The 26,825-nt window shown below is 47.4% G+C and overlaps 1 protein-coding gene across 8 annotated transcripts in view, besides 2 other annotated features; it reads right to left on the bottom strand.

The window, feature by feature from the left end:
* ITCH (itchy E3 ubiquitin protein ligase) overlaps positions 1–2,907 on the bottom strand; it is a 148,501-nt gene extending 145,594 nt beyond the window's left edge. For all 8 annotated transcript variants that reach the window (NM_001324197.2, NM_001324198.2, NM_001257137.3 and 5 more), the window contains exon 1: positions 2,831–2,907. The gene's annotated coding sequence lies outside the window, so the exon portion shown is untranslated. The remainder of the gene's footprint in view (positions 1–2,830) is intronic.
* Positions 2,373–2,602: a silencer, noted in NCBI's record as "silent region_12834". NCBI's record gives its function as "represses an Ori minimal core promoter by ATAC-STARR-seq in GM12878 lymphoblastoid cells {active_cell/tissue: GM12878}" and the evidence as "EXISTENCE:reporter gene assay evidence [ECO:0000049][PMID:35858748]".
* Positions 21,700–21,863: a silencer, noted in NCBI's record as "fragment chr20:32932123-32932286 (GRCh37/hg19 assembly coordinates)". NCBI's record gives its function as "represses an EF-1alpha promoter that drives an FKBP-Casp9 reporter gene in an ReSE screen in K562 erythroleukemia cells {active_cell/tissue: K562}" and the evidence as "EXISTENCE:reporter gene assay evidence [ECO:0000049][PMID:32094911]".

The raw sequence follows: 26,825 nt of genomic DNA, 5'->3' as shown, positions 1-26,825 counted from the left end.
ACTCCACACTCCCTGAACCCTTTTTGTTCCATAATCCTCTGAATTTACACACAGCATTAAGGCATTCACTCAGCCTACCCTGTCCTTCTCTTTCCCCGCCCTTTTCACACTCCTACTCTTCATGTAAGACCCAATGTGGGTTCAGGGGCAAATCTTGCCTCTTCTAACCAATCCTCCACCCAGCCACACACACAGAATTGGCCACTTCCTCTTTCGTCTCAAAGCTTTTTGACCTTTCCTTGGTAAGTCTACAGTACCATTTGCCCTCAGTGGTTCCCAAGACCATCAGAATTACCTAAGGCATGTGTTAAAAATAAATTGGTTGAAGCCAACCCAGACCTACTAAATCCATCTCAGAAGGTAAGACCCTGGAATTTCTAAGCTCTCCTAATTATTCTAATGGTCAAATTTGGGGACTACTGGTTTGTCTGCCTCTCCCAATAAGTGAAAAGATGTATTTTTTAGGGCCAGGAGTGGCGGCTCATGCCTGTAAACCCAGCACTTTGGGAGGCCAAGGCAGGTGGATCACGAGGTCAGGAGTTCGAGAGCAGCCTAGCCAATATGGTGAAAACCCATCTCTACTAAAAAATACAAAAAAATTACCGGGAGTGGTGGCACGCGCCTGTAGTCCCAGCTACTACGGAGGCTGAGGCAGAAGAATTGCTGGAACCCGGGAGGCGGAGGTTACAGTAAGCCGAGATCACACCACTGTACTCCAGCCTGGGTGACAAAGTTAGATTCCGTCTCAAACAAACGAAAAAGATGTATTTTTTTCTAAAGAATGTAGAAATGTTTGATTCTAGAATACACTGAAGAAGTAGTCTGTACTCATTTTTTTAATTTCATATGATATCCTTGGTGACTTGACCTGTATGCTGAATGTAATGGAATTCCTTTTGGACTCACAAAACTTAAATTCACAGTTCAAAGAAGCAGTAGAATTTCCACCTTCATTTCTAAATTTTTTTTTTTATTTTTTGAGACAGGGTCTCACTCTGTCACCCAGGCTGGAATGCAGTGGCAACGGTAACAGCTCACCGCAGCCTCGACCCCCCGGAATCAGGTGATTCCCCCACCTCAGCCTCCTGAGTATCTGGGACCACAGGCGCCTGCCACCACACCCGGCAAATCTTTGTATTTTTTGTAGAGACGGGGTTTCACGATGTTGCCCAGGCTGATCTCCAATTCCTGGGCTCACGTAATCCGCCCACCTCGGCCTCCCAAATTGCTGGGATTACAGGCGTGAGCCACCACACCCATCCCATTGCTTTTTTTTTTTTTTTTTTTTTGAGGCGGAGTCTCGCTCTGTCGCCCAGGCTGGAGTGCAGCAGCGAGATCTCGGCTCACTGCAGCCTCCACCTCCCGGGTTCAAGCCATTCTCCTGCCTCAGCCTCCCTAGTAGCTGGGACTACAGGCGCGCGCCACCACGCCCAGGATTTTTTTTTTTTTTTTTTTGTATTTTTAGTAGAGACGGGGTTTCACCATGTTGGTCAGGATGGTCTCGAACTCCTGACCTCATGATCTGCCCGCCTCGGCCTCCCAAAGTGCTAGGATTACAGGCGTGAGCCACACACAGCACCCGGCCCATTTCTTAATTTTAAAAATAAATCGTAGCTTAAATAAACCTGTAAATACACATAGCAAGCTCTCAGCAGATCTGCCATGAGAACTTCACCTCAACTGATAAACCATTCCTTAGCCGATTTTGAGAATGGAAATACACTGCCTTTACATACTTCCTGAAGATCGAATTCTATCAGGAAAAGATGCAGGAGAACCCACCTAAGTGGGTGGCTGGCTCCAGGGTCTTACTAATTTTCAAGGCAAAAATCCCACAATTCCCCATCCCCCACTCCAAACCAAGTATACTGTAGCTGTGGAAGAATGGCAGAAAATGTAATAAGATTAGGATACGAATACAACCAAGAAAACAAGGTTGCGTTGTTATTGGGGATAATGAATTCCTGGCCCTTTACAAGTTCACCTGGTTACATGTCCAACTAACTTTAGGCCCAGCGTCTACTTCGGGCGCACAAATTCTGCGATTCTCTTTTCTGTCGCGGACGGGAACTGTCTTGGAAAACTTGAGTTCTCCACTTAAAAGTCATGTCATCATGCTTCGACCCTTAGAATACGTTCAACGGCTACTTTTTTCTTTTCTCTGCTAAAGAAAAGGGCACTCTCCGGAGGAAGGGCAGTGACAGCTCCACGTCTGCAAAAGTCGGCGCCGCCACGACGGTGGCGGACGTCGGGGAGGGCGCCGGAGCCGGGACCACCACGCCGGGGGGACAATGGAAGGAGGAGGCGAGTGGGAGAGAGAAGGGGAGGCAGCCGCTGTGCTGGGCCCTTCTAGCGACTGGGGGCTCGGAAAAGTCTCGAGAAGGCCAGCTGGGTGGCGGGGGACCCGGCCGCCGCCCCTCACAGGGCCACGTCGCCCGCGCCGGCCCCGCCGCCGGGCCCCGCGCGTAGGCCGAACCGCTGGAGAGTGGCCCCAGGCGGGGCTGAGGGGCGAGGGGCCGGACGGTACCCACGCCCGTCGTGGCCCAGCCCTTTCACAACTTGGAGCCCGCGAGGCGAAGGCCTCCGGAAGCCTGTGCCAGACACTGATCCCTCCGAACGTCCAGACAGCCCACCCCCACCGCCCGGCCCGGGCCAGTAGCCCGAGCTCCCCGCGCCCCCGACAGACACCGGCTCTGGAAGAAGGAGCAGCCGCGGCTCTGGGGTCCCGAACCGCGCGTCCCACTCCTCTACCCTTGTTCTCCCCGAACATTCTCATCCGGACTCCCTCCCTCTCCCGAGAACTGCCCCGAGTTCGCCCACGGGGGTTTACCGGGACTCGGGGCGGCGGCGACTCCTCAGTCCCTAGACTAAGATGGCAGCCGGTCCCGAGCCCCGACCACAGCTACTAGAGCGAGTTAGCAGCTAAAGCGCAGGCGCCTGAGCGCGGAAGTGGTCTAGACTACAAGCCCCAGCAGGCCTTGCGCGCCAGCCGTCCGGCCCGCCCCTGGCTTGAAGAGCTGGCTGCGGTGGTAAATCAGTTAAATCCCAGTTTTCCTCAGCTCCAGGTGAGATGGGCGCGAGCGGCTCCCAGCACCTCCAGGCTTTTTTTTTTTTTTAACACCCCGCCCACCAGAGCCTATAAGGACTGTGATTCTCAAACTATGGTGTGCATCAGAATCACCTAGAGAGCTTATTAAAACTTACACTGCTGACCCCCACCCCCAGAGTTTCTGATCAGAAGATCTGGCATAGGAGGATAGGGTCTGATAATTTGCATGTCCAACAAGCTGTCTAGTGATACTGCTAGTGAGTGAAATCATAATTTGAGAACCAATGGGCTATATAGCTTAGTTTATAACTTAGTTGTTCTTTTTTCTTTTTCTTTTCCTTTTCTTTTTTTTTCTTCTTTTTGAGATAAGGTCTCACCCTTCACCCAGGCTGGAGTGCAGTGGTGCAGTCATAGCTCACTACAGCCTCACACTCCTGGGCTCAAGCGAGCCTCCCACCTGGGCTTCCTGAGTAGCTGGGACAGCAGTTGAGCACCACCACACCCGACTAATTTTGTTCTATTCTTTGTAGAGATGGGGATGGGGTGGAGTGCGGATGGGATGGGGCGGGAATAGGGCCACGGTGTCGCCATGTTGCCCAGGCTGGTCTCCAGCTCCTGGGCTCAAGCGATACTCCCTCCTCGGGCCTCCCAATCGCTGAGATTACAGATGTGAGCCACTGCACCTGGCCTGGCTTAGCCTTTAACAATGTACATTAAAGGGCGTGGTTAAAAAGAAAATAAAAGAAAAAAAATGTACACTTGAGAGTTACACTGACCGGATTCAAATCCTCCCTTTTCTACCTTTTAACTGGGTGCCCTTAGGGATGATGACAACAGCTTAGTGGAGCCAACGTGGCCTGTCCGGTATTCTAAGAGCTGATACCAAGCTCCCTTTATTCTCACAACAAACCTATTACAGAAATACCATTATTATCCCCATTTTACAAATATATAAACTAAGTCACATACTTGATAAGAACCCAGGCAGTCTGGCGTGAAAGTCCGTTGTCTTAACCTTCTTCATGGATTGCTTGTGAGAAATAATAGGCTATGCAGGCAGAGACTCAGAGGTATGACTAAGTGCTCAATACTTAGTGACCTTTGCTATTACTGTTTAGCCTGTTTCCTCCTAATGAAAATAGTATTTTGCCATCTGGAAAGTCACATTTTTCAAAGTGACTTTTTTTTTTTTTTTTTTTTTGAGACAGAGTCTTGCTCTGTCACCCAACCTGGAGTGCAGCGGTGCAATCATAGCTCACTGCAGCCAACCTCCTGGGCTCAAGTGATCCTCTCACCTCAGCTTCCTGAGTAGCTGGGACTCCAGGCTCAAGCCACCACACTATCCTAATTGTTTTTATTTTTGTAGAGACGTGGACTCCCTGTGTTGCCCAGGCTGTTCTCAGACTCCTAGGCTTGGCTAGGGTCAGTGGCTTACACCTGTAATCCCAGGAGTTAGGGAGGCCAAGGCAGGCAAATCACTTGAGGTCAGGAGTTTGAGACCAGTCTGGCCAACATGGTGAAACCCCGTCTCTTTTTTTTTTTTTTTTTTTTTTTGAGACAGAGTATTGCTCTGTCGCCCAGGCTGGAGTGCAGTGGCGCAATCTTGGCTCACTGCAACCTCCGCTCGCCTCCTGGGTTCAAGTGATTCTCCTGTCTCAGCCTCCTAAGTAGCTGGGACTACAAGCGCATGCCATCACGCCTGGCTAATTTTTGTATTTTTAGTAGAGTTGGGTGAGCCACCACGCCTAGCCTTGTGAAACCCCTTCCCTACTAAAAACACAAAAATTAGCCAGGTGTGGTGGCGGGTGCCTGTAATCCCAGCTACTTGGGAGGCTGAAGCACGATAATTGATTGAACCCAGGAGGGGGAGGTTGCAGTGACCCAAGATCACGCCATTGCACTCCAGCCTGGGCGACTCAGCGAGACTCTGTCTCAAAAAACAAACAACAAAAGAAACATAAAGGCTGGGCGCAGTAGCTCACTCCTATAATCCCAGCACTTCGGGAGGCTGAGGCGGGTGGATCACCTGAGGTCAGGAGTTTGAGACCAGCCTGGCCAACATGGTGAAATCTTGTCTCTACTAAAAATGCAAAAATTTGTTGGGCATGGTTTGGGAGGCCGAGGCGGATGGATCAACTGAGGTCAGGAGTTCAAGACCAGCCTGGCTAACATGGTGAAACCCCATCTCTACTAAAAATGCAAAAATTAGACCGGGCACGGTGGCTCACGCCTATAATCCCAGCACTTTGGGAGGCCAAGGCGGGCGGATCACGAGATCAGGAGTTCAAGACCAGCCTGGCTATCATGGTGAAACCCTATCTCTACTAAAAATACAAAAATTAGCCGGGCGTGGTGGCGGGTGCCTGTAATCCCAGCTAGTCAGGAGGCTGAGGCAGAGAATTGCTTGGACCTGGGAGGCGGAGGTTGCAGTGAGCCAAGATCGTGCTACTGCACTCCATCCTGGGCCACAGAGCGAGAATCTGTCTCAAAAAAAAAAATGCAAAAATTAGTTGGGCATGGCACACCCCTGTAATCTCAGCTACTCGGGAGGCTGGGGTGGGAGAATTGCTTGAACTCAGGAGACGGAGACTGCAGTGAGCCAAGATCACGCCACTGCACTCCATCCTGAGTGACAGAGTGAAACCCCATCTAAAAAAAATAAAAAATCAAACTCCTAGGTTCAAGCCTTCAAGCCTCAAGCAAAGTACTTTCAAAACCACTTCATGTTTCCTGCAACATGCCTTAGGAAAGATTGCTAAAATACAGATTCCTGCGCCCCATCCTCATTCAGTTTCTCTAGTGCAGTGGTTTTCAAACCTCAGTACTTATCAGAATTGCCTGCAAAGTTAGTTAAACTGTAGGTTGCTGAGGCCACTCCTAGAGTTTCTGATTCAGTAGGTCTGGGGCAGGGCCTGAGAATTTGCTTTTTTTTTTTTTGGAGACTGAGTCTCACTCTGTCGCCCAGGCTTGAGTGCAGTGGCCCAACCTCCGCTCACTGCAACCTCTGCCTCCCGGGTTCAAGCGATTCTCCCGCCTCAGCCTCCCGAGCAGCTGGGATTACAGGTGCATGCCACCACGACTGACTAATTTTTGTATTTTTGTAGAGATGGGGTTTCACCATATTGGCCAGGCTGGTCTTGAACTCTTGAGCTTGTGATCTGCCCGCCTTAGCCTCCCAAAGTGCTGGGATTATAGGCGTGAGCCACCGCACCCGGCCAGTACAAGGTATTTTTATGACCATTATACAGAGAAGAAAACTGAGTGTGACAGAAATTAAATGGCTTGTTGAAGATCACTCAGCCAGGAACCAGGGATCTAACCCTAAGTCCTGTAGCTCCAGATTCTGTATTCACCTACAATTTTAAAAACTATGTAAGGTTAGGCAAAACTAGTCTATGGTGTTAGAAGTCAGGATACTGGTTACTCTTTGAGGGGAGGGTGTACCTGGAAGAAGGCACAAAGACACCTCTCAGGATAGGTAATAATGTTCTGTGCCCTGATCTGGGTGGTGTTACTGTTTCAGGAAAAGGGTCCTGATTCAGACCCCAAGAGAGGGTTCTTGGATCTCGTGCAGGAAAGAATTTGGGGCAAGTCCATACAATAAAGTGAAAACAAGTTATTTATTTATTATTCTTTTTCAGACAGAGTTTTGCTCTTGTCACCCTGGCTGGAGTGCAGTGGGGCAATCTCAGCTCACTGTAACCTCCGCCTCCTGGGTTCAAGTGATTCTCCTGCCTCATCCTCCTGAGTAACTGGGATTACAGGCGCACACCACCACACCCAGCTAATTTTTGTATTTTTAGCAGAGGTGGAGTTTCACCATGTTGGCTAGGCTGATCTTGAACTCCTGACCTCAGGTGATCCACCTGCCTCGGCCTCCCAAAGTGCTGGGATTACAGGCATGAGCCACGGCACCCAGCCGATAATGAGTTTATTAAGAAAGTAAAGGGGCCGGGCGTGGTGGCTAACGCTTGTAATCCCAGCACTTTGGGAGGCTGAGGGGGGTGGATCACGAGGTCAGGAGTTCAAGACCAGCCTGGCCAACATAGTGAAACCCCACCTCTACTAAAAATACAAAAATTAGCTGGGCGTGGTGACGTGCGCCTATAATACCAGCTACTCCAGAGGCTGAGGCAGGAGAATTGCTTGAACCAGGACCCAGGAGGCAAGGTGGAGGCTGCAGTGAGCCGACATCGTACCACTGCACTCCAGCCTGGGCAACAGAGCAAGACTCCATCTCAAAAAAAAAGAAAAAGAAAAAAGAAAGTAAAGGAGGCCGAGCGTGGTGGCTCACACCTGTAATCACACCACTTTGGGAGGCTGAGGCGGGTGGATCACTGGAAGTCAGGTGTTTGAGACCATCCTGGCCAACATGGTGAAACCCCATCTCTACTAAAAATACAAAAAAAGTTAGGCAGGCATGGTGACGCACGTCTGTAATCCCAGCTACTCAGGAGGCTGATGCAGGAGTATCGCTTGAACCCAGGAGGTAGAGGTTGCAGTGAGCGGAGATCCTGCCACTGCATTCCTGCCTGGGAGACAGAGCAAGACTCCCTCTAAAAAAAAAAAAAGAAAGTAAAGGAATAAAAGAATGGCTACCCCATAGTCAGAGCAATGGCTCGAGATGCTGGTCTAAGGATAGAGTTATTTCTTGATTATATGCTAAACAAGGGGTGGATTATTTATGAGTTTTCCAGGAAAGGGGTGGCCAATTCCCAGAGCTGAGGGTTACTCCCCTTTTTAGACCTTATAGGGTAACTTCTGGATGTTGCCGTGGCATCTGTAAACTGTCATGGCACTGGTGGGAGTGTCTTTTAGCATGCCGATCCATTATAATTAGCATATAATGAGCAGTGAGGATGACCAGAGGTCACTTTAATTGCCATCTTTGTTTTGGTGGGTTTTAGCTAACTTCTTTTTTGGCAAGGTCTTTATGACCTGTATCTTGTGCCAAACCCCTCTCATTCTGTGACTTAGAATGCCTAACCTCTCACGCCTGTAATCCCAGCACTTTGGGAGGCCGAGGCAGGTGGATCACAAGGTCAGCAGTTCGAGACCAGCCTGACCAATATGGTGAAACCCTGTCTCTACTAAAAATACAAAAATGAGCCAAGAGTGATGGCAGGCGCCTGTAGTCCCAGCTACTTGGGAGGCTGAGGCAGGAGAATTGTTTGAACCCAGGAGGCAGATGTTGCAGTGAGCAGGATCATGCCACTGCATTCCAGCCTGGGCAACAGAGTAAGACTCCGTCTGAAAAAAAGAATGAAGAATGCCTAACCTCCTGGAAATGCAGCCCAGTAGGTCTCAGCCTTATTTTGCCCAGCCCCTATTCAAGATGGAGTTGCTCTGGTTCAAAAGCCTCTGACAGTACACAGGCTTTCTCACTTTGTGAAAATTAATTAAGCCATATACTTATGATTTCTGCATTTTTCTCTATTCATATTATACATCAATAAAAGTTTACTTAAAACAAATACATGTTTTATTTTATTTCATTTTTATTTATTTACAGACAAGGTCTCTGTCACCTAGGCTGGAGTGCAATGGTGTGATCATAGCAGCCTCAAACTCCTGGGCTCAAGCAATCCTCCCATCTCAGCCTCTAAATATATATTTTTTTGTTTTGAGACAGAGTCTTGCTCTGTCGCCCAAGCTGGAGTGCAGTGACGCAATCTTAGCTCCTGCCTCAGCCTCCCAAGTAGCTGGGATTACAGGCGCCTGCCACCATGCCCAGCTAATTTTTTTGTATTTTTACTAGAGACAGGGTTTCACCATGTTGGCCAGGCTGGTCTTGAACTCCTGACCTCTGGTGATTCACTGGCCTCAGTCTCCCAAAGTGCTGGGATTACAAGTGTGAGCCACCATGCCCGGTCCCAAATATATGTTTTAAATGGATATTGGCCAGGAGTAGTGTCTCATGCCCATAATTCCAGCACTTTGGGAGGCTGAGGCAGGAGGATCCTTTGAGGTAAGGAGTTCTAGACCACCCTGCACAACACAGAGAGACTCCATCTCTAATAATAGTAATATAAATAAATAAATGAAACTCATTTTGTTTAAAAAATGCATCTCCAGCTGGGCGCGGTGGCTCACACCTGTAATCCCAGCACTTTGGGAGGACGAGGTGGGTGGATCACGAGGTCAGGAGATCGAGACCATCCTGGCTAACATGGTGAAACCCTGTCTCTACTAAAAAATACAAAAAATTAGCTGGGCGTGGTGGCAGGTGCCTGTAGTTCCAACTACTCGGGAGGCTGAGGCAGGAGAATGGCGTGAACCTGGGAGGCAGAGCTTGCAGTGAGCCGAGATCGTGCCGCTGCACTCCAGCCTGGGTGACAGAGTGAGACTCCATCTCAAAAAAAAAAAAAAAAAAAAAAAAAAAAAAAAGGCATCTCTTTCTACTACATATCAATGATTCTAAAACTTTATAGTGCACCAGAATCGCCTGAAGGACTTGATAAAACTCAGATTGCTAGGTGTCACCCAGGAATTTCTGAGTCAAGAAGCTCTGTTAGGACCGAGAAACTGCATTTCTCTTTTTTTTTTTTTTAGATGGAGTTTCACTCTTGTTGCCCAGGCTGGAGTGCAATGGCGTGATCTCGGCTCACTGCAACCTCTGCCTCCGGGGTTCAAGCAATTCTCCTGCCTCGGCCTCCCGAGTAGCTGGGATTACAGGTGCCCGCCACCATGCCTAGCTAATTTTTTGTATTTTTAGTAGAGACAGGGTTTCACCATGTTGGCTAGGCTGGTCTCGAACTCCTGACCTCAGGTGATCCACCTGCCTGGGACTCCCAAAGTGCTGGGATTACAGGCATGGGCCACCGCGCCGAGCTGAGAAATTACATTTCTAACAAGTTCCAGGTAATGCTGATGCCCACCTAGCATGATACTTTGAGAACCACTGGACTATGCTATCCTAACCTTCTTACTAATGCCAACAGGATGGGTCAGCTCTCATCTGCGAGGCAGCATCTAACAGGAGTTAGTAATTTCGGCTTCAGCGGCATATGTATCAAGGATCTAGTCCTTATTATGTCAATAAATTGCTTGTGGGGTGGGGGCGGGGGGGCAGGGGTTCTTAGGCAAAGTCACCTGAACCTCAGTATCCAAATCTCTAAATGAATCTAATAGAACCTACCTCCTAGGATGTTGTAAAGATTCTAGAACATCCCGGGTTTGTAGTTGGTGATTGTCCAAGAAGAAGCCGAGTTTGTGAGGGCAGGGAATCCCAGCCTGGCCATTTCCTCATTCTCCCATGCTATGTGGTTCTAGCTCCCAAGTTCCCTGATCCAGAACTCAGCCTGGTCTTGGCCTGGTCAGAATGCAGGATCAGTGGTTGATAAAACTGAGCCACCTTTACCTTCCTTCTGCCTATGACACCTGTGCCAATCCAGGACAGGACTAGCCCTGCTAAAGCAGGGGCCAGAAACCTGGAGGAGCCTGTCACCAGCAAGGGAAGGAGGTTCCTAGGCCTCCTAGGAGAGGAGGAGGGCAGGAAGCAGGGATGCAGAGCTGGAAGGAGTTGGGAGAAAAACCCCAGCGGCCCACATGCCACCTGCCTCTTACCAGATTTCCCTGCAGAACACTTAGTCATACTGCTGTCCCCCTCTTTCCTGGAGCCTCTTTGCTTTCACTTGCCAGAGGAAGGTTTGAAAAACTGTGTGTTAATGGAGAGAAGACACCACGAGACTTCTGAGGGCCTGAGATCTGGATCCAAAGAGACCACTTAAGGCTAGGTGTGATGGCTTATTATTTCTGTTTAAGAATGTTTACTTCTCCTTGAAATAAGGTACACAAGTTCTGTCCGTGGTCCCAGGTTGCCAGATTTAGAAAATAAATATATAGAATGCCCAGTTAAATTTGAATTTCAGATAAACAACAGATAATTTTTAGTATAAATATGTGCAGCTATTGCATGTAACATACTATTACTAAAATTTTTCTCATTGTTTATCTAAAATTAAAATTTAACTGGGCATTCTATATTTTATTTGGCAACTCTACTTCCAAGGCTTTATAATACACTTTCTAGATCAGGGGTAATAAAGTTAAATGCCTCCTAGGACCATCCAGGTAAAATAAAAAATAACATTTAGGCCAGCCTCGATGGCTCACACCTGTAATCCCAGCACTTTGGGAGGCCAAGGTGGGCGGATCACTTGAGGTCAGGAGTTTGAGACCAGCCTGGCCAACATGGAGAAACCCTGTTTCTACTAAAAATACAAAAAAAAAAAAAAATTAGCCAGGTGTGGTGGCATACACCTGCGATCCCAGATACTTGGGAGGCTGAGGCACAATAATCGCTTGAACCTGGCAGGTGGAGATTGCAGTGAGCCGAAATTGTGCCACTGCACTCCAGCCTGGGCAACAGAGTGAGGCTCTGTCTCAAACAAAACAAAACAAAACAAAACAAAAAACAAAAACCCACCTAGGCCAGGCACGGTGGCTCACGCCTGTAATCCCAGCACTTTGGGAGGCCGAAGCGGATGGACCACCTGAGGTCAGGAGTTCAAGACCAGCCTGACCAACATGGTGAAACCCCATCTCTACTAAAAATACCAAACAACTAGCCAGGCATGGTGGCAGGTGCCTATAATCCCAGCTACTCGGGAGGCTGAGGCAGGAGAACTGCTTGAACCCGGGAAGTGGAGGTTTCAGTGAGCCAAGGTCTCGCCACTGCACTGTAGCTTGGGCAACAGAGCAAGACTTTGTCTCAAAAACAAACAAACAAAACCCCAAAAATTCAGAAACAAATAGTAAATTGTAGTTAATGATAGGCATGCTGAAGTGTTTAGAGGTAGTGAACTCTGCAACTTCTTTGAAATGCATCAAAAATCAAAAAAATTAGATGGGACTGGGCACAGTGGCTCACACCTGTAATCCTAGCACTGAGGTCAGGAGTTTGAGACCAGCCTGGCCAACCTGGTGAAACCCTGTCTCTACTAAAAATACAGAAATTAGCTGGGCATGGGGGCAGACGCCTGTAATCCCAGCTTCTTGGGAGGCTGAGGCAGGAGAATCACTTGAACCTGGGAAGCGGAGGTTGCAGTGAGCCGAGATCACACCACTGCACTCCAGCCTGGGCGACAGAGCAAAACTCTGTCTCAAAAAAAAAAAAAAAAAAAAAAAAAGCTGGGTGTAATGGCTCATGCCTATAGTCCCAACTACTCAGGAGGCTGGGGTGGGAGAACTGCTTGAGCCCTGGAGGTTGAAGCTCCAGTGAGCCTTGATCTTGCCACTGCAATCCAGCTTGGGCAATAAAGAGATACTCTCTCTCAAAAAATAAATAAACAGGCCAGGCACGGTGGCTCAGGCCTGTAATCCCAGCTCTTTGGGAGGCCGAGGCAGGTGTATCACTTGAGGTCAGGAGTTCAAGACCAGGCTGGCCAACATGGCGAAACCCCATCTCTACTAAAAACACAAAAATTAGCCGGGCTTGCTGCCACATGCCTGTAATCCCAGCTACTTGGGTGGCTGAGGCAGAAGGATTGCTTGAAACTGGGAGGTGAAGGTTGCGGTAAGCAGAAATGATGCCACTGCACTCTGGCCTGGGCGACAGAGTGAAACTCTGTCTCAAAAAAATAATAGTAAGATGGATGGGAGGAGAGATGGAGAAACAGATGAATGAATAAATATGCAACAAAGCAAATGTAGCAAACAGTTAACAATTGTAGAATCTAGGTAATGGGTAGATGAGCATTCACTATACAGTTCTTTCAACTGCTTTATATGTTTGAAAATTTTCATAATATAGTATTGGGAGGAAATCTTGCACAAGCAAAATGCAGCCCAAGCCTGAGCAACATAGTAAGACCCTGTCTCTACTAAACTAAAATAAAAACATTAGCCAGCTGTGTTGGCAAAAGGCTGAGGGGAGAGGATCAAATGAGCCTAGGAGGTCAAGGCTACAATAAGCCATGTTCGCCCGACTGCACTCAAACCTGGGTGACAGAGTGAGACTTTGTCTCAAAAACAAACATATAAACAAAAACCCAAAAAGGCTGGGCACAGTGGCTCACGCATGTAATCCCAGTACTTTGGGAGGCCAAGGCGGGTGGATCACTTGAGGTCAGGAGTTCGAGACCAGCCTGGCCAACATGGTGAAACCTCATCTCTACTAAACACACAAAAATTAGCCGAGTGTGGGGGCATGAGCCCGTAATCCCAGCTACTCAGGAGGCTGAGGCAGGAGAATCGCTTGAATCTGTGAGGCGGAGTTTGCAGTGAGCTGAGATGACCCCATTGCACTCCAGCTTGGGTGACAGAACAAGATTCCATCTCAAAAAAAAAAAAAATGCAGTCGATTTTCATAGATGAATTTCCAGTCCCTGATCCATTTGCAGCCAGCTCCATCTTCTATTGTTCCTCTTTTTTGGGCTACAAACTAGCATGACTTTATTTACAAAGTTCCTTCCTCCTTGCTCTTTTCCCAATATTCCTCCTAATCGGGTTCAAGTTCCCTTCCTACTATTTATTTGCCATGTGACCTTGCCTCTCTGGGCCTCTGCTGACATCTGGAAATTGAGGTCAAATGTATTTTTTTTTTAATTTATCTTGAGGCAGGAGTTTGGACCATTTAATCTGGGAAGATTTCCTCCTTCCTCCCTCCCCAAACCATAAGCCTTTTTTTTTTTTCTGAGACGGAGTTTTGCTCTTGTTGCCCAGGCTGGAGTGCAATGGCGCGATCTTGGCTCACTGCAACCTCCGCCTCCCGGGTTCAAGCGATCCTCCTGCCTCCGCCTCCTGAGTAGCTGGGATTACAGGCATGCACCACCACGCCCAGCTAATTTTATATTTTTAGTAGAGAAGGGGTTTCTCCATATTGGTCAGGCTGGTCTGGAACTCCTGACCTCAGGGGATCTGCCCACCTCAGCCTCCCAAGGTGCTGGGATTACAGGCGTGAGTCGCTGAGCCTGGACTATCCATAAGCCTTTCAAGGAGAAAGAGCCAGTCTTGTCCATACTCATGTGTCTTCTGGCACGTAGTGACACCTTAAGGGTGCTCAGGAAATGCTTGAATGAAACCTCTCTGTAAACAGAAAGGAGGAGACAAGGACATATATTGAGTGCCCACCGTGTGTTTATGAACTAGATGTGCCTTTATTCATCCCACAGCTACCCAGTGAGGTAGGAGTCACTGTGATTCCCACTTTCATAGAGGAAGAAACAGGTTCAGAAGGCTAAAGTGACTGGCCAAAATTCACAGTGAATGCAAGAAACAGATCTGAGATTGGAACTCAGGATTGTCTCTTTCAACTTCATCACAACTGCCTCTTCCTGAATCAATGATAGGAAGAGTCTCTTTTTCTGTATCCTTCAAATTTTCTATACTGAATTAGAAGTAGGAAAAAAAAAGTTATAGGCCGGGCACAGTGGCTCATGCCTGTAATCCCAACACTTTGGGAGCCTGAGGTGGATGGATCGCCTGAGGTCAGGAGTTCAAGACCAGCCTGGCCAACATGGTAAAACTCCATCTCTACTAATAATACAGAAATTACCCTGGCATACCATGCCTGTAATCCCAGCTACTCGGGAGGCTGAGACAGGAGAATCATTTGAACCTGGGAGGCGGAGGTTGCAGTGAGCCGAGATCGCGCCATTGCACTCCAGCCTGGGTGACAGAGCAAGACTTCATCTCAAAAAAAAAAAAAAAGAAAGAAAGAAAGAAAAAGTCTGGGCATAGTGGCTCACGCCTATAATCCCAGCAATCTGAGAGGTGAGGTGGGCGGATCACGAGGTTAGGAGTTTAAGACCAGCCTGACCAACATGGTGAAACGCTGTCTCTACTAAAAATACAAAAATTAGCTGGGCATGGTGGCGCGCACTTGTAATCCCAGCTGCTCAGGAGGCTGAGGCAGAAGAATCGCTTGAATCCAGGAGGCAGAGGTTGCAGTGAGCCAAGATCACGCCACTGTACTCCAGCCTGGGCAATAGAGCAAGACTCCATCTCAAAAAAAAAAAAAGTTATAAAAATAGATCACCATAAGGAGCTCTCAGCACATCCCCCTGCAATTTTGGGGAGATTTGAGCTTCAGAGGGGCAACTGCAAGACTAAAGAACAGCCTTAGATAATAATCAGCATGTCAGAGCTTCTTCTAGTCCTGCTCATTATCCTCAGTTCCTTCTTTTCTTGTTCTCAAACCTAAAGTTATCCTTCTTCCAGGAAAGCCCCACTGGCCTATCTCTACAAATTACAGACCTGAATAATTTCTTGCCTAAAGTTCTCACTGGAGATTTCAGTCTCAAAAACAAACAAACAAACTTAACCTGCCTTACTTGCTTTTCTTTTCTTTCCTTTTAAAAATTTTTATCAGGCCGGGCGCTGTGGCTCACGCCTGTAATCCCAGCACTTTGGGAGGCCGAGGCGGGCAGATCACGAAGTCAGGAGATCGAGACCATCCTGGCTAACACAATGAAACCCCATCTCTACTAAAAATACAAAAAATTAGCCGGGCGTGGTGGCGGGCGCCTGTAGTCCCAGCTACTTGGGAGGCTGAGGCAGGAGAATGGTGTGAACCCGGGAGGTGGAGCTTGTGGTTAGCAGAGATCGCGCCACTGCACTCCAGTCTGGGCGACAGAGCAACACTCTGTCTCAAAAAAAAAAAAAAAAAAAAAAAAAAAGAATCAGCTTATATCATGCTTTGATTTGTTTCCTTTTAGTCACTTGCTTCTAGTTGATTTTAAAACCTATATAGCTAAAAGTCACATAGCTAAGCAGTATATAACTAGACTTCCACAACTTCCTTATAGATAACATCTCTGATGTATAGGTCACTGTGACAGTGGTTGCTTAAGTTGTTTTTCAGGAACTCACAGTCAGTTCTTATCCAGTTCAAGATGGCTGAGCCCACCGACCCTTCACCTCGGCCTGCTTGAGTATCTGATGGGTGACCTTTCAATGTTAGAGTGCCAAAAAGCCCTAAAGTCCATCCTTAGATCGTACTAATGATGTCATTTTCTGAACATGCATCCTATGAACCATAAAGCTTAACTGGCTTGCACAGATCACCAATGGCCCCACTTTTCTTTACCTCCAATCACCTTTCCCTACACCTTGGACCACCTTGCTTCTTTATCCCATAAACATCCCTAAACCCTGTTTTCAGAGATGCAGATTTCAGACATGTTCTCCTATCTCTTCACTGGGCTGCCTTGTGAATAATCTCTTTATTGGCTGCAAAACTTATCATCTCAGTGATTGGCTTACTGTGCAACAGGCAGAACGAACCTGGTTCGGTAATGTTGATTTTTCAGCTGAGGCAACTATCCCAGAGTGGTTAGGCGACTTCCCTGAGATCAGCTAGTAATTGATGGAATCAGGATTCACATTTGATCGGCCCGACCTAGAGCCCTCACTCTGAACCTTTAAACCAACATCTTTCAAGGGGTTGGGCAGTGACAGATGTACACAAGATGATTTTAGGTGGTGCCATAAATGGTCATTTAAAACAACTTTTGCTGGGCACAGTGATTCACATCTGTAATCCCAGCACTTTGGGAGGCTGAGGCGGGTGAGTCACCTGAGGTCAGGAGTTCAAGAGCAGCCTGGCCAACATGGCAAAACCCTGTCTCTACTAAAAATAACAAAAATTAGCCAGGTGTGGTGGCAGGCGCCTGTAATCCTGGCTACTCGGGAGGCTAAGGCAGGAGAATCGCTTGAACCCAGGAGGCGGAAGTCTCAGTGAGCCAAGATTGCGCCATTGCACTCCAGCCTGGGCAACAAGAGTGAAACTCCATCTCAAAAAATAAATAAATAACTTTTTTTTTTTTTTTTTAAATAGAGACTGGTTTTGCCATGTTGCCCAGGCTGGTCTCAAACTCCTGGGCTCAAGTGATCTGCCAGCTTCAGCCTCCGAAAGTGCTAAGATTATAGGCATGAGCCACCGTGCCCAGCCTAAAAATATGTTTTTATTGTGAAAAATATCAGAGATAGATAAGAAAAGAGAAAACAGTATAATGAATTTCTAGTGTCATAAGCTTCAAATACCAGTAACAATAGTTTTCAGACTGGGCATGTTTGTTCACACCTGTAATCCAAGCACTTTAAGAGTCTGAGGTGAGAAGATCACTTGAAGTCAGGAGTTGGAGATCAGCCTGGGCAACATAAAGAGACCCTCATCTCTAAGAAAAGGCTGGATGCGATGGCTCATGCCTGTAATCCCAAACTTGGGGAGGCTGAGGCAGGCGGATCACTTGAGGTCAGGAGTTCAAGACCAGCCTGGCCAATATAGTAAAACCCTGTCTCTACTGAAAATACAAAATTAGCCAGGCGTGGTGGCGCATGCCTGTAGTCCCAGCTACTAGGGAGGCTGAGGCAGGAGAATGGCTTGAACCTGAGAGGCGTAGGTTGCAGTGAGCTGAGATCATGCACTGCACTCCAGCCTGGTGACAGAGCAAGACTTGGTCTCAAAAAGAAAGAAAAATAGTTTCATCTACTACCTCCATTGATGGCTTATTTCAAAGCAAATCCCAGACATCATATAATTTCTTCTGTCAGTATTTCAATAGATTGTGTGGTAGCTTTTTATCTTAGCAGTTGCATTCCTTAGTAATGTATATACTGAAGCAGTGGGTGGCTAATGCATCGAGCTGGTCATTTCACACATATTGCTTAGGATGTGGCTAAAGTAGGATTTTAGCTATTAAAACTATGAGATGCCATGTTTTCACTATCAGATTGGTCAGGAACAAAAAAATTGCTATCTCAACAGTGTTACCAAGCAAGTGAGAAACAGCCATACTCCTGATTGGAGTATAAATTGACGTGATGCCAATTGTGTGGTGGAAGGACAATTTGGCTGTATCTATGAAAATTTTAAAAATATATGTCAGGACTGGGCACAGTGGCGTATGCCTGTAATCCCAGCACTTTGGGAGGCCGAAGTGGAAGGATTGCTTGTATCCAGGAGTTGTGGACAACCATAGGCAACATAGCAAGACCCCATCTCTACAAAAAATAAAAAATTATTTGTGCATAGTGGTGCAGGTGTGTAGTCCCAGGTACTCAGGAGGCTGAGGCAGGAGGATTGCATGAGACCAGGAGGTTGAGGCTGCAATGAGCTGTGATCCTGCCACTGTACTCCAGTCTGGGCAATAGAATGAGACCTTGTCTTAAAAAAAAAAAAAAGACATAGGAGAAAATCTTCAAGACCTTGGGTTAGGCAAAGATTTCTTAGATATGACAACAAAAGCTTAATCTATAAAAGGAAAAATTGGTCAATGAAACCATCAAAATTCAAATTTTTCTGTATCTTAAAAGACACCATTTGCTTTCTGTGTTACCCATGGAGGGGTCCATGTGACGTTGTTCTGGATTCCCATTGTAACTTCAAGGGAAACTTTCACAATGTCCAGAGCCCTTGATGTCCTGCCAATGAAGAAAGAGGATGTCTTCAAGTTCCTTGTAGCAGGATAGCAGGAACCCACTTAGGTGGCATCAGCCTTGACTTCCAAATGGAACAGCACTTTTTTTTTGGAGACAGTCCAGCTCTGTCACCCAGGCTGGAATGCAGTGATGCGATCTCAGCTACTGCAACCTCCGCCTCCTGGGTTCAAGCGATTCTCCTGCCTCAGCCTCCCTAGTAGCTGAGATTACAGGTGCCTGCCACCATGCCCAGCTAATTTTTGTATTTTTAGTAGAGATGGGGTTTCACTGTGTTGGCCAGGCTGGTCTCGAACTCCTGACCTCATGATCTGCCCACCTCGGCCTCCCAAGTGCTGGGATTACAGGCGTGAGCCACTGCGCTCGGCCACTTTTTTTTTTTTTTTGAGACAAAGTCACACTTTTGGCCAGGCTGGAGTGCAGTGGCGCCATATCGGCTCACTGCAATCTCTGCCTCCTGGATTCAAGCGATCCTCCTGCCTCAGCCTCCCAAGTACCTGGGATTACAGGCACACGCCACCATGCCTGGCTAATTTTTGTATTTTTAGTAAAGATAGGGTTTCACCATGCTGGCCAGGCTGGTCTCAAATTCCTGACCTCGTGATCAGCCCACTTCGGCCTCCCAAAGTGCTGGGATTGCAGGCGTGAGCCACTGAGCCCAGCAACTTTTGTATTTTTAGTAGAGGTAGGTTTTACCATGTTGACCAGGCTGGTTTCCAACTCCTGACTTCAAGTGATCTACCTGCCTTGGCCTCCCAAAGTGCTGGGAATACAGGCGTGAGCCACTGAGCCCAGCCCTAGAGCTAGCATTTAATCCAACTTGGGGGATAAGGGAAGTATCTAAAGCAATAAGAATATATTTTGTTGGCTGGGCGCAGTGGCTCATGCCTGTAATCCCAGCACTTTGGTAGGCCGAGGCAGGCGGATCATGACATCAGGAGATCGAGACCAGCCTGGCCAATGTGGTGAAACCCCGTCTCTACTAAAAACACAAAAAATTAGCCGGGTGCGGTGGCATATGCCTGCAGTCCCAGCTACTCAGGAGGCTGAGGCAGGAGAATTGCTTAAACCTAGGAAGCGGAGGTTGCAGTGAGCCGAGATTGCATCACTGCACTCCAGCCTGGGCAATAGAGCGAGACTCTGTCTCAAAAAAAAAAAATCTTTTGTTAAAATATTTGGCCTTTTGTCCTAGATCTTTGAAACCCCTCTTGGAATAGCTTCAGTGCCAGAAGGTGAAAGATAAAAATATTGTTATTTAAAACAATCCCTTTTCAAACACACTTGAGTTTATATTTTGTTTTGTTTTGAGAGGGAGTCTCGCTCTGTCACCAGGCTGGAATGCAGTGGTGCGATCTCCACTCACTGCAACCTCTGCCTCCCTGGTTAAAGAGATTCTTGTGCCTCAGCCTCCTGAGTAGCTGGGATTACAGGCACGTGCCACCACACCTGGCTAGTTTTTTGTTTTTTTTTTTTTTTTTTTTTTTTTAGTAGAGACGGGGTTGCACCATGTTGGCCAGGATGGTCTCAATCTCCTCACCTCATGATCCGCCCGCCTTGGTCTCCCAAAGTGCTGAGATTACAGGTGTGAGACACAGCGCCCGGCAGAATTTATGTTAATGACAGGATTCGGGGAAAGTTCCAAGATAACCACAGGATGGGAGAGTGGCTGCCAGAGGATCCAACCATTAGTTCAAAGGGTTGAAACTTTCAGCCCCACCCCCAACCTCCAGGGAGGGTCTCTAAGTGAAGTTAATCACCAATGGCCAATTATTTATCAATCATGCTTACCTAATGATGCTTTTTTTTTTGAGACAAGAGTCTCACTCTGTTTCCCAGGCTGGAGTGCAATGGCGTGATCTCAGCTCACTGCAATCTCCACCTCCAAGGTTCAAGCAATTCTTGTGCCTCAATCTCCCAAGTAGTTGGGACTACAGGCACCTGCCACCACAACCAGCTAATTTTTGTATTTTTAATATAGATGGGGTTTCACCGTGTTGGCCAGGCTGGTCTCGAATTCCCGACCTTAGGTGGTCTACCTGCCTAGGCCTCCCAAAGTGCTGGGATTACAGGTGTGAGCCTCTGGGCCCAGCCTGACGCTTCCATTATAAACCAAAGCGACTGGGTTCAGAGAGCTTCTAAATAGCTGAACACCTGTAGGCTTCCAGGAAGGTGAATGAGAGCACATCCACACGCAGGAGGAGGAGGTGACACCCCATCTCCATAGGGATAAAAGCTCCCGTGCTCCAGACCCTTTCAGACTTTACCCTTTGTTCTCTCCATCTGGCTGTTTATTTGTAGCGTTTGTAATGTATATGTTTCCCTGAGTTCTGTAAGTCCCTCTACCAAATTAATGGAACCCAGGGAGGGAGTTGTGGGAATCCTGATTTATGGCTGGTTAGTTTGAAGTTCTGGAGGCCTGGACTTATTACTGGCATCTGAAGTGAGGATAGTCTTGGGGACTGAGCACTCAACCTATGGGACCTGGTGTTATTTTCAGGTGGATAGTATCAGAGTTTATTTGGACTAGAAAACACCCAGCTGGTGTCCACTGCAGAACTGACTGATTGCCTGATGTGTGGGGAAAACCCCTATACATCTTGTGTCAGAGGCCTGTTGTGAGTATAGTGGGAGAAACTGAGTTTGTTTTTTCTGGTCATGGTGGTTGTACAACTCAATAAATTTACTATAAATCATTCAATTATACACTAAAAGTGTGTGCATTTTATGGTATGGCAATTATACCTCTATAAAGATGTCTTCAAGGCTGGGCGCAGTGGCTCACGCCTGTAATCCCAGCACTTTGGGAGGCTAAGGCGGGGGCGGATCATGAGTTCAGGAGTTCAAGACCATGCTGGCCAACATGGTGAAACCCCGTCTCTGCTAAAAATACAAAAAAATTAGCTGGGCGTGGTGCGTGCGTGTAATCCCAGCTACCCGGGAGGCTGAGGCAGGAGAATCGCTTGAACCAGGAAGTCAGAGCTTGCAGTGAGCAGAGATTGCGCCACTGCACTCCAGCCCGGCGACAGCAAGATTCCATCTCAAAAATAAAATAAAATACATAAAATAAAATAAAGATGTCTTCAAATATAAGGCCTCGGCCAAACGCCGTGACTCACATCTGTAATCCCAGCACCTTGGGAGGCTAAGGAGGGAGGATCGCTTGAGCCCAGGAATTCAAGACCAGTTTGGGCAACATAGGGAGACCCCAGTCTCTATAAAATACACAAAAATTAACTGGGTGTGCTGGTATGTGCCTGCCGTCCCAGCTACTCTGGAGGTTGAAATGGGAGCATTGGTTGAGCCCAGGAGGTTAAGGCTGCAGTGAGCCATGATCCTGCCACTGCACTCCAGCCTGGGTGACAGAGCGACACCCTGTCTAAGAAAAAAAAAAAAAAAGGCTTCAACCTGGGAACGTTGATTGTCTGCCCTCCCCGCCAAAAAAAAAAAAAGAAAAGAAAAGAAAAGAAAAGAAAAACCAGCCAGTGGTTCCTAGCCATTTCATCTCTAAAAATTTATCTCTTAGATAAATGTGCAATGAACAAAATAACTGATGAACATGGTTATTTGTCATAACAATGTTTGTAATAGGTAAACATTGGAAATAAGGTCAATGTTCAACAGTAGAGGACTAGATAAATTATGGTACTAGAAAAACTATGCAGGAACTAAAAAAAAAAAAAGAAGAAGAAGGTGGCAGGTATAGTGACATAAGCCTGCAATCCCAGCTACTCAGGAGGCAAAGGTGTTGAGAACTTTGCTCCTTAGTTCAGCTAAAACCAGGTCCTTGTCACACAACCAGGAAGAATTAGGAAAGTGGAGACATTGAAGGGTGAGGAGAATGGAATTCACTGGGTGAAAAGGAAAAAAGAAAAAAACTCTCAGCAAAGTGAGAGGCGAGAGGCGATCCTGCTAACGGGCCCCTACCTAGCAAATTGATTACCAGGCCACCACACAGGAACTGGAGAGGCTAGGCTACTCTCCGGGCATCCAGCTCGAACTTCCTGTGGCTCCACCCTGTTCTTCCAGTGTACAGGCAGGCCTTCCCCTTATCTGCCTCCTGCATCTATCAGCGGGAGGAGAGTTTCAGCCCAGGAGTTCAAATCCAGCCTGGGCAACATGGCCAGATACCATCTGAAGAAAAAATTTAAAAGGCCGAGCACAGTGGCTCACACCTGTAATCCTAGCACTTTGGGAGGCTGAGGCAGACGGATCACGAGGTCAGGAGTTTCAGACCAGTCTGGCCAGCATGGTGAAACCCCGTCTTCACTAAAAATACAAAAATTAGCTGGGCATGGTGGTGGGCACCTGTAATCCCACCTACTTGAGAGGCTGAGGCATGAGAATTGCTTGAACCTGGGAGGCGGAGGTTGCAGTGAGACAAGATGGAGCCAATGCACTCCAGCGTAGGCAAGAAAGCAAGACCCCGTCTCGGGGGAAAAAAAAAAAGAATGAGGCATATGTACGAATATGATTAGTATTCAAACTATTTTATTTAGAAAATAGGCCGGGCGCAGTGGCTCACACCTGTAATCCCAGCACTTTGGGAGGCCGAGGCGGGCAGATCACGAGGTCAGGAGGTCGAGACCATCCTGGCTAACACGGTGAAACCCTGTCTCTACTAAAAATACAAAAACCAAAAAAAAAAAAAATTAGCCAGGCATGGTGGCAGGCGCCTATAGTCCCAGCTACTGGGGAAGCTGAGGCAGGAGAATGGCGTGAACCCGGGAGGCGGAGCTTGCAGTGAGCCGAGATTGCGGCACTGCACTCCAGCGTGGGCAACAGAGTGACACTCCATCTCAAAAAGAAAAAAGAAAATAAATAGCCTGGCAAGGTGGCTCATGCCTGTTATCCCAGCACTTTGGGAGGCTGAGGCAGGAGAATTCCTTGAGGCCAGGAGTTTGAAACCAGCCTGGGCAACATAGTGAGACCCTGTCTCTACAAAAAATAAAAACAAATTAGCTATGCATGGTAGCTCGCACATGTAGTCCCAGCTACTCAGGGGTGGGGGTGCTGAGGTAGGAGGATTGCTTGAACCTAGGACGTGGAGGCTGCAGTGAGCCATCATCATGCCACTGCACTTCCAGCCACAGAGTGAAACCATGTCCCCCCCCAAAAAAAAACAAACACAAAAAAAGGCCAGGTGGCTCACACCTGTAATCCCAGAGCTTTGGGAGGCCAAGGTGGGCAGATCACCAGAGGTCAGAACTTCGAGAGCAGCCTGGCCAACATGGTGAAACCCCATCTCTACTAAAAATACAAAAATTAGCTGAGCGTGGCAGTGGGCACCTGTAATTCCAGTTACTCAGGAGGCTGAGGCAGGAGAATCACTTGAACCAGGGAGGCAGAGGTTGCAGTGAGCCAAGATTGTACCACTGCACTCCAGCCTGGGTGACAGAGGGAGACTCCGTCTCAAAAATAAAATAAAATAAAATGAATAAATAAATTAAATAAAATAAATGAAGTGAGTCAATTTAAAGAAAAATATGAGGCCAGGCCTGGTGACTTACACCTGTAATCACAGCACTTTGGGAGGCTAAGGGGGGCAGATCACCTGAGGTCAGGAGTTGGAGACCAGCCTGGCCAACATGATGAAACCCCATCTCTACTAAAAATACAAAAAAAAAATTAGCCGGGCGTGGTGGTGCACGCCTGTAATCCCAGGTACACGGCAGGCTAAGGCAGGAGTATCACTTGAACCCAGGAGGCGGAGGTTGCAGTGGGCCGAGATCGTGCCATTCATTGCACTCCAGCCTGGGCAAGAAGAGCGATACTCCATCTCAAAAAAAGAAAAAAAAAGAAAGAAAAAAAAACAAGAACAACTATTGCTACTTGCAAAAACAGGAGAATTACAGAAACATAATGATAGTGAAAGAAGCCAGACCAAAAAAATGCATACCATAAAAAATATACTTTACTATTTTATTTATTTATTTATTTTGAAACAGGATCTCTCTTTGTCACCCAAGCTGGAGTGCAGTGTGTGATCATAGCTCACTGCACCCTTGCACTCTTGGCTTTAAGTGATCCTCCCACATCAGCCCACCCCAAGTAGCTGGGACTACAGGCGTGAGCCACCACATCTGGCTAATTTTTTAAAAAGTTTTTGTAGAGACAAGGTCTTGCTGTGTTGCCCAGGCTGGTGTTGAACTCCTGAGCTCAAGTGATCCTTCCGCCTTGTACTAAAATATACCCTACGTTGCTGGGATCACAGGCATGAGCCACTGTGCCAGGCCTACTTTGTTTAAATGTTTTAAGAACAGGCAAAACAGGCCAGGTGCGGTGGCTCACACCTGTAATCCCAACACTTTGGGAGGCAGAGGTGGGCGGATCACCTGAGGTCAGGAGTTCAAGACCAGCCTGACCAACATGGCAAAACGTCATCTCTACTAAGAATACAAAATTAGCTGGGCGTAGTGGCACAAGCCTGTAATCCCAGCTACTTGGGAGGATGAAGCAGGAGAATCACCGAATCACTTGAACCCAGGAGGCAGAGGTTGCAGCGAGGCGAGATTGTACATTGCACTCCAACCTGGGTGACAGAGTGAGACTCCATCTCAAAAAAAAAAAAAAAAAGAACAAAAGAACAGGCAAAACAAACCTAGGGTGACAGAGGTAAGAATACTGGTAACTCTCAAGTGTCAGGAATTGGCTGGGAGAGATCACAAGAGAGGCTTCTAGGGGATGGGAAATGTTTCTTTGTTTGTTTGCTTTTTGAGATGGAGTTTTGCTCTTGTTGCCCAGGCTGGAGTGCAATGGCGCGATCTCAGCTCACTGCAACCTCCGCCTCCCGGATTCAAGCAATTCTCCTGCCTCAGCCTTCTGAGTAGCTGGGATTACAGGCATGTACCAACACGCCTGGCTAATTTTTTGTATTTTTAAAAGAGACAGGATTTCACTGGGTTAGCCAGGATAGTCTCAATCTCCCGACCTCAGGTGATCTGCCCGCCTCGGCCTCCCAAAGTGTTGGCGTTACAGGAGTGAGCCACTGCACCTGGCGGGAAATGTTTATATGTTGATTTGGTTACACAAAAATCTATACACACACATAAATTATTTGAATTGTACACTTAATATTTGCTCAGTTTATTATATGTATATTATATTTCAACAGAAAATTAAAAATAATGTGCAACAGGGAATGATGAGCATAAGGTTCAGGAGGATGGTTACTAGGGTTGGGAAAGAGGTTGGGTGGGGAGGGAGGTATATAGTCAGATGTAGGTTATTGTTAAGGTTCTACATTTTATTTTGGGATGGTGGCTTCACAAGTGACTGTCATTACTTTAAAAAACTAATTAAATAAAAAATTATTTCAAAATAATACAAATGGTACACATACTGATAGAGTTGTTATGCAGTGTGTCAATCAAGATTCTTAGTTGCAAACAAAACAAACCAACTCACTTCAGTTTAAACAGGAAAGAGTTATTACAGGATGTTGGGTGGCTCACAGAATCTCCATGAGGGGCAAAGCCATAGTATTGGGAGCTATGCATAGGTAGGAACAACTCCTAAAATCACCCTGGGGAGTCAGGCCAGAGGAGATGCCAGGATGCAAGGCAGAGACACTACAGCTTGTTCTGCCAACCCTGAGTTCTTTCTTCCTTTTTTTTTTTTCTTTGAAACGGAGTCTCGCTCTGTAGCCCAGGGTGGAGTGCAGTGGTGTGGATCACTCAAGCCCAGGAGGTCGAGGTTGCAGTGAGCCATGATCACGCTACTGCACTCCAGCCTAGGTGACAGAGTAAGACCACTTCTCAAAAATAAATAAATAGGCCGGGCGCGGTGGCTCACGCCTGTAATCCCAGCACTTTGGGAGGCTGAGGTGGGCAGATCATGAGGTCAGGAGATCGAGACCAGCCTGGCTAACACGGTGAAACCCCGTCTCTACTAAAAATTAGCCGGGCGTGGTGGCGGGCGCCTGTAGTCTCAGCTACTCTGGAGGCTGAGGCAGGAGAATGGCGCGAACTCTGGAGGCGGAGGTTGCAGTGAGCCGAGATCGCGCCATTGCACTCCAGCCTGGGCGACAGAGTGAGATTCTATCTCAAAAAGTAATAATAATAAATAATAAATAAATAAATAGGAATAAAAATAATTTATCTTAAGCTGGCCTTGGTCATAAGAAGGAGGCATTCAGTCAGGCACATATGCTAGTTACTGCTGAACCCCTGATGAAAGAGATAAAATCTGGTTAAAGTTCCCTGATTAAGCCAGGTGCTGTGGCTCACGCCTGTAATCCCAGCACTTTGGGAGGCCAAGGCGGGCGGATCACCTGAAGTCGGGAGTTCGAGACTAGTCTGACCAACATGGAGAAACCCCATCTCTACTAAAAATACAAAATTAGCCGGGCATGGTGGCACATGCCTGTAATCCCAGCTACTCCGGAGGCTGAGGCAGG

This window comes from Homo sapiens, chromosome 20, assembly GCF_000001405.40.
Source record: "Homo sapiens chromosome 20, GRCh38.p14 Primary Assembly".
Classification (NCBI taxonomy): Eukaryota; Metazoa; Chordata; class Mammalia; order Primates; family Hominidae; genus Homo; species Homo sapiens.
This window is presented reverse-complemented; position numbering and strand designations above follow the sequence as displayed.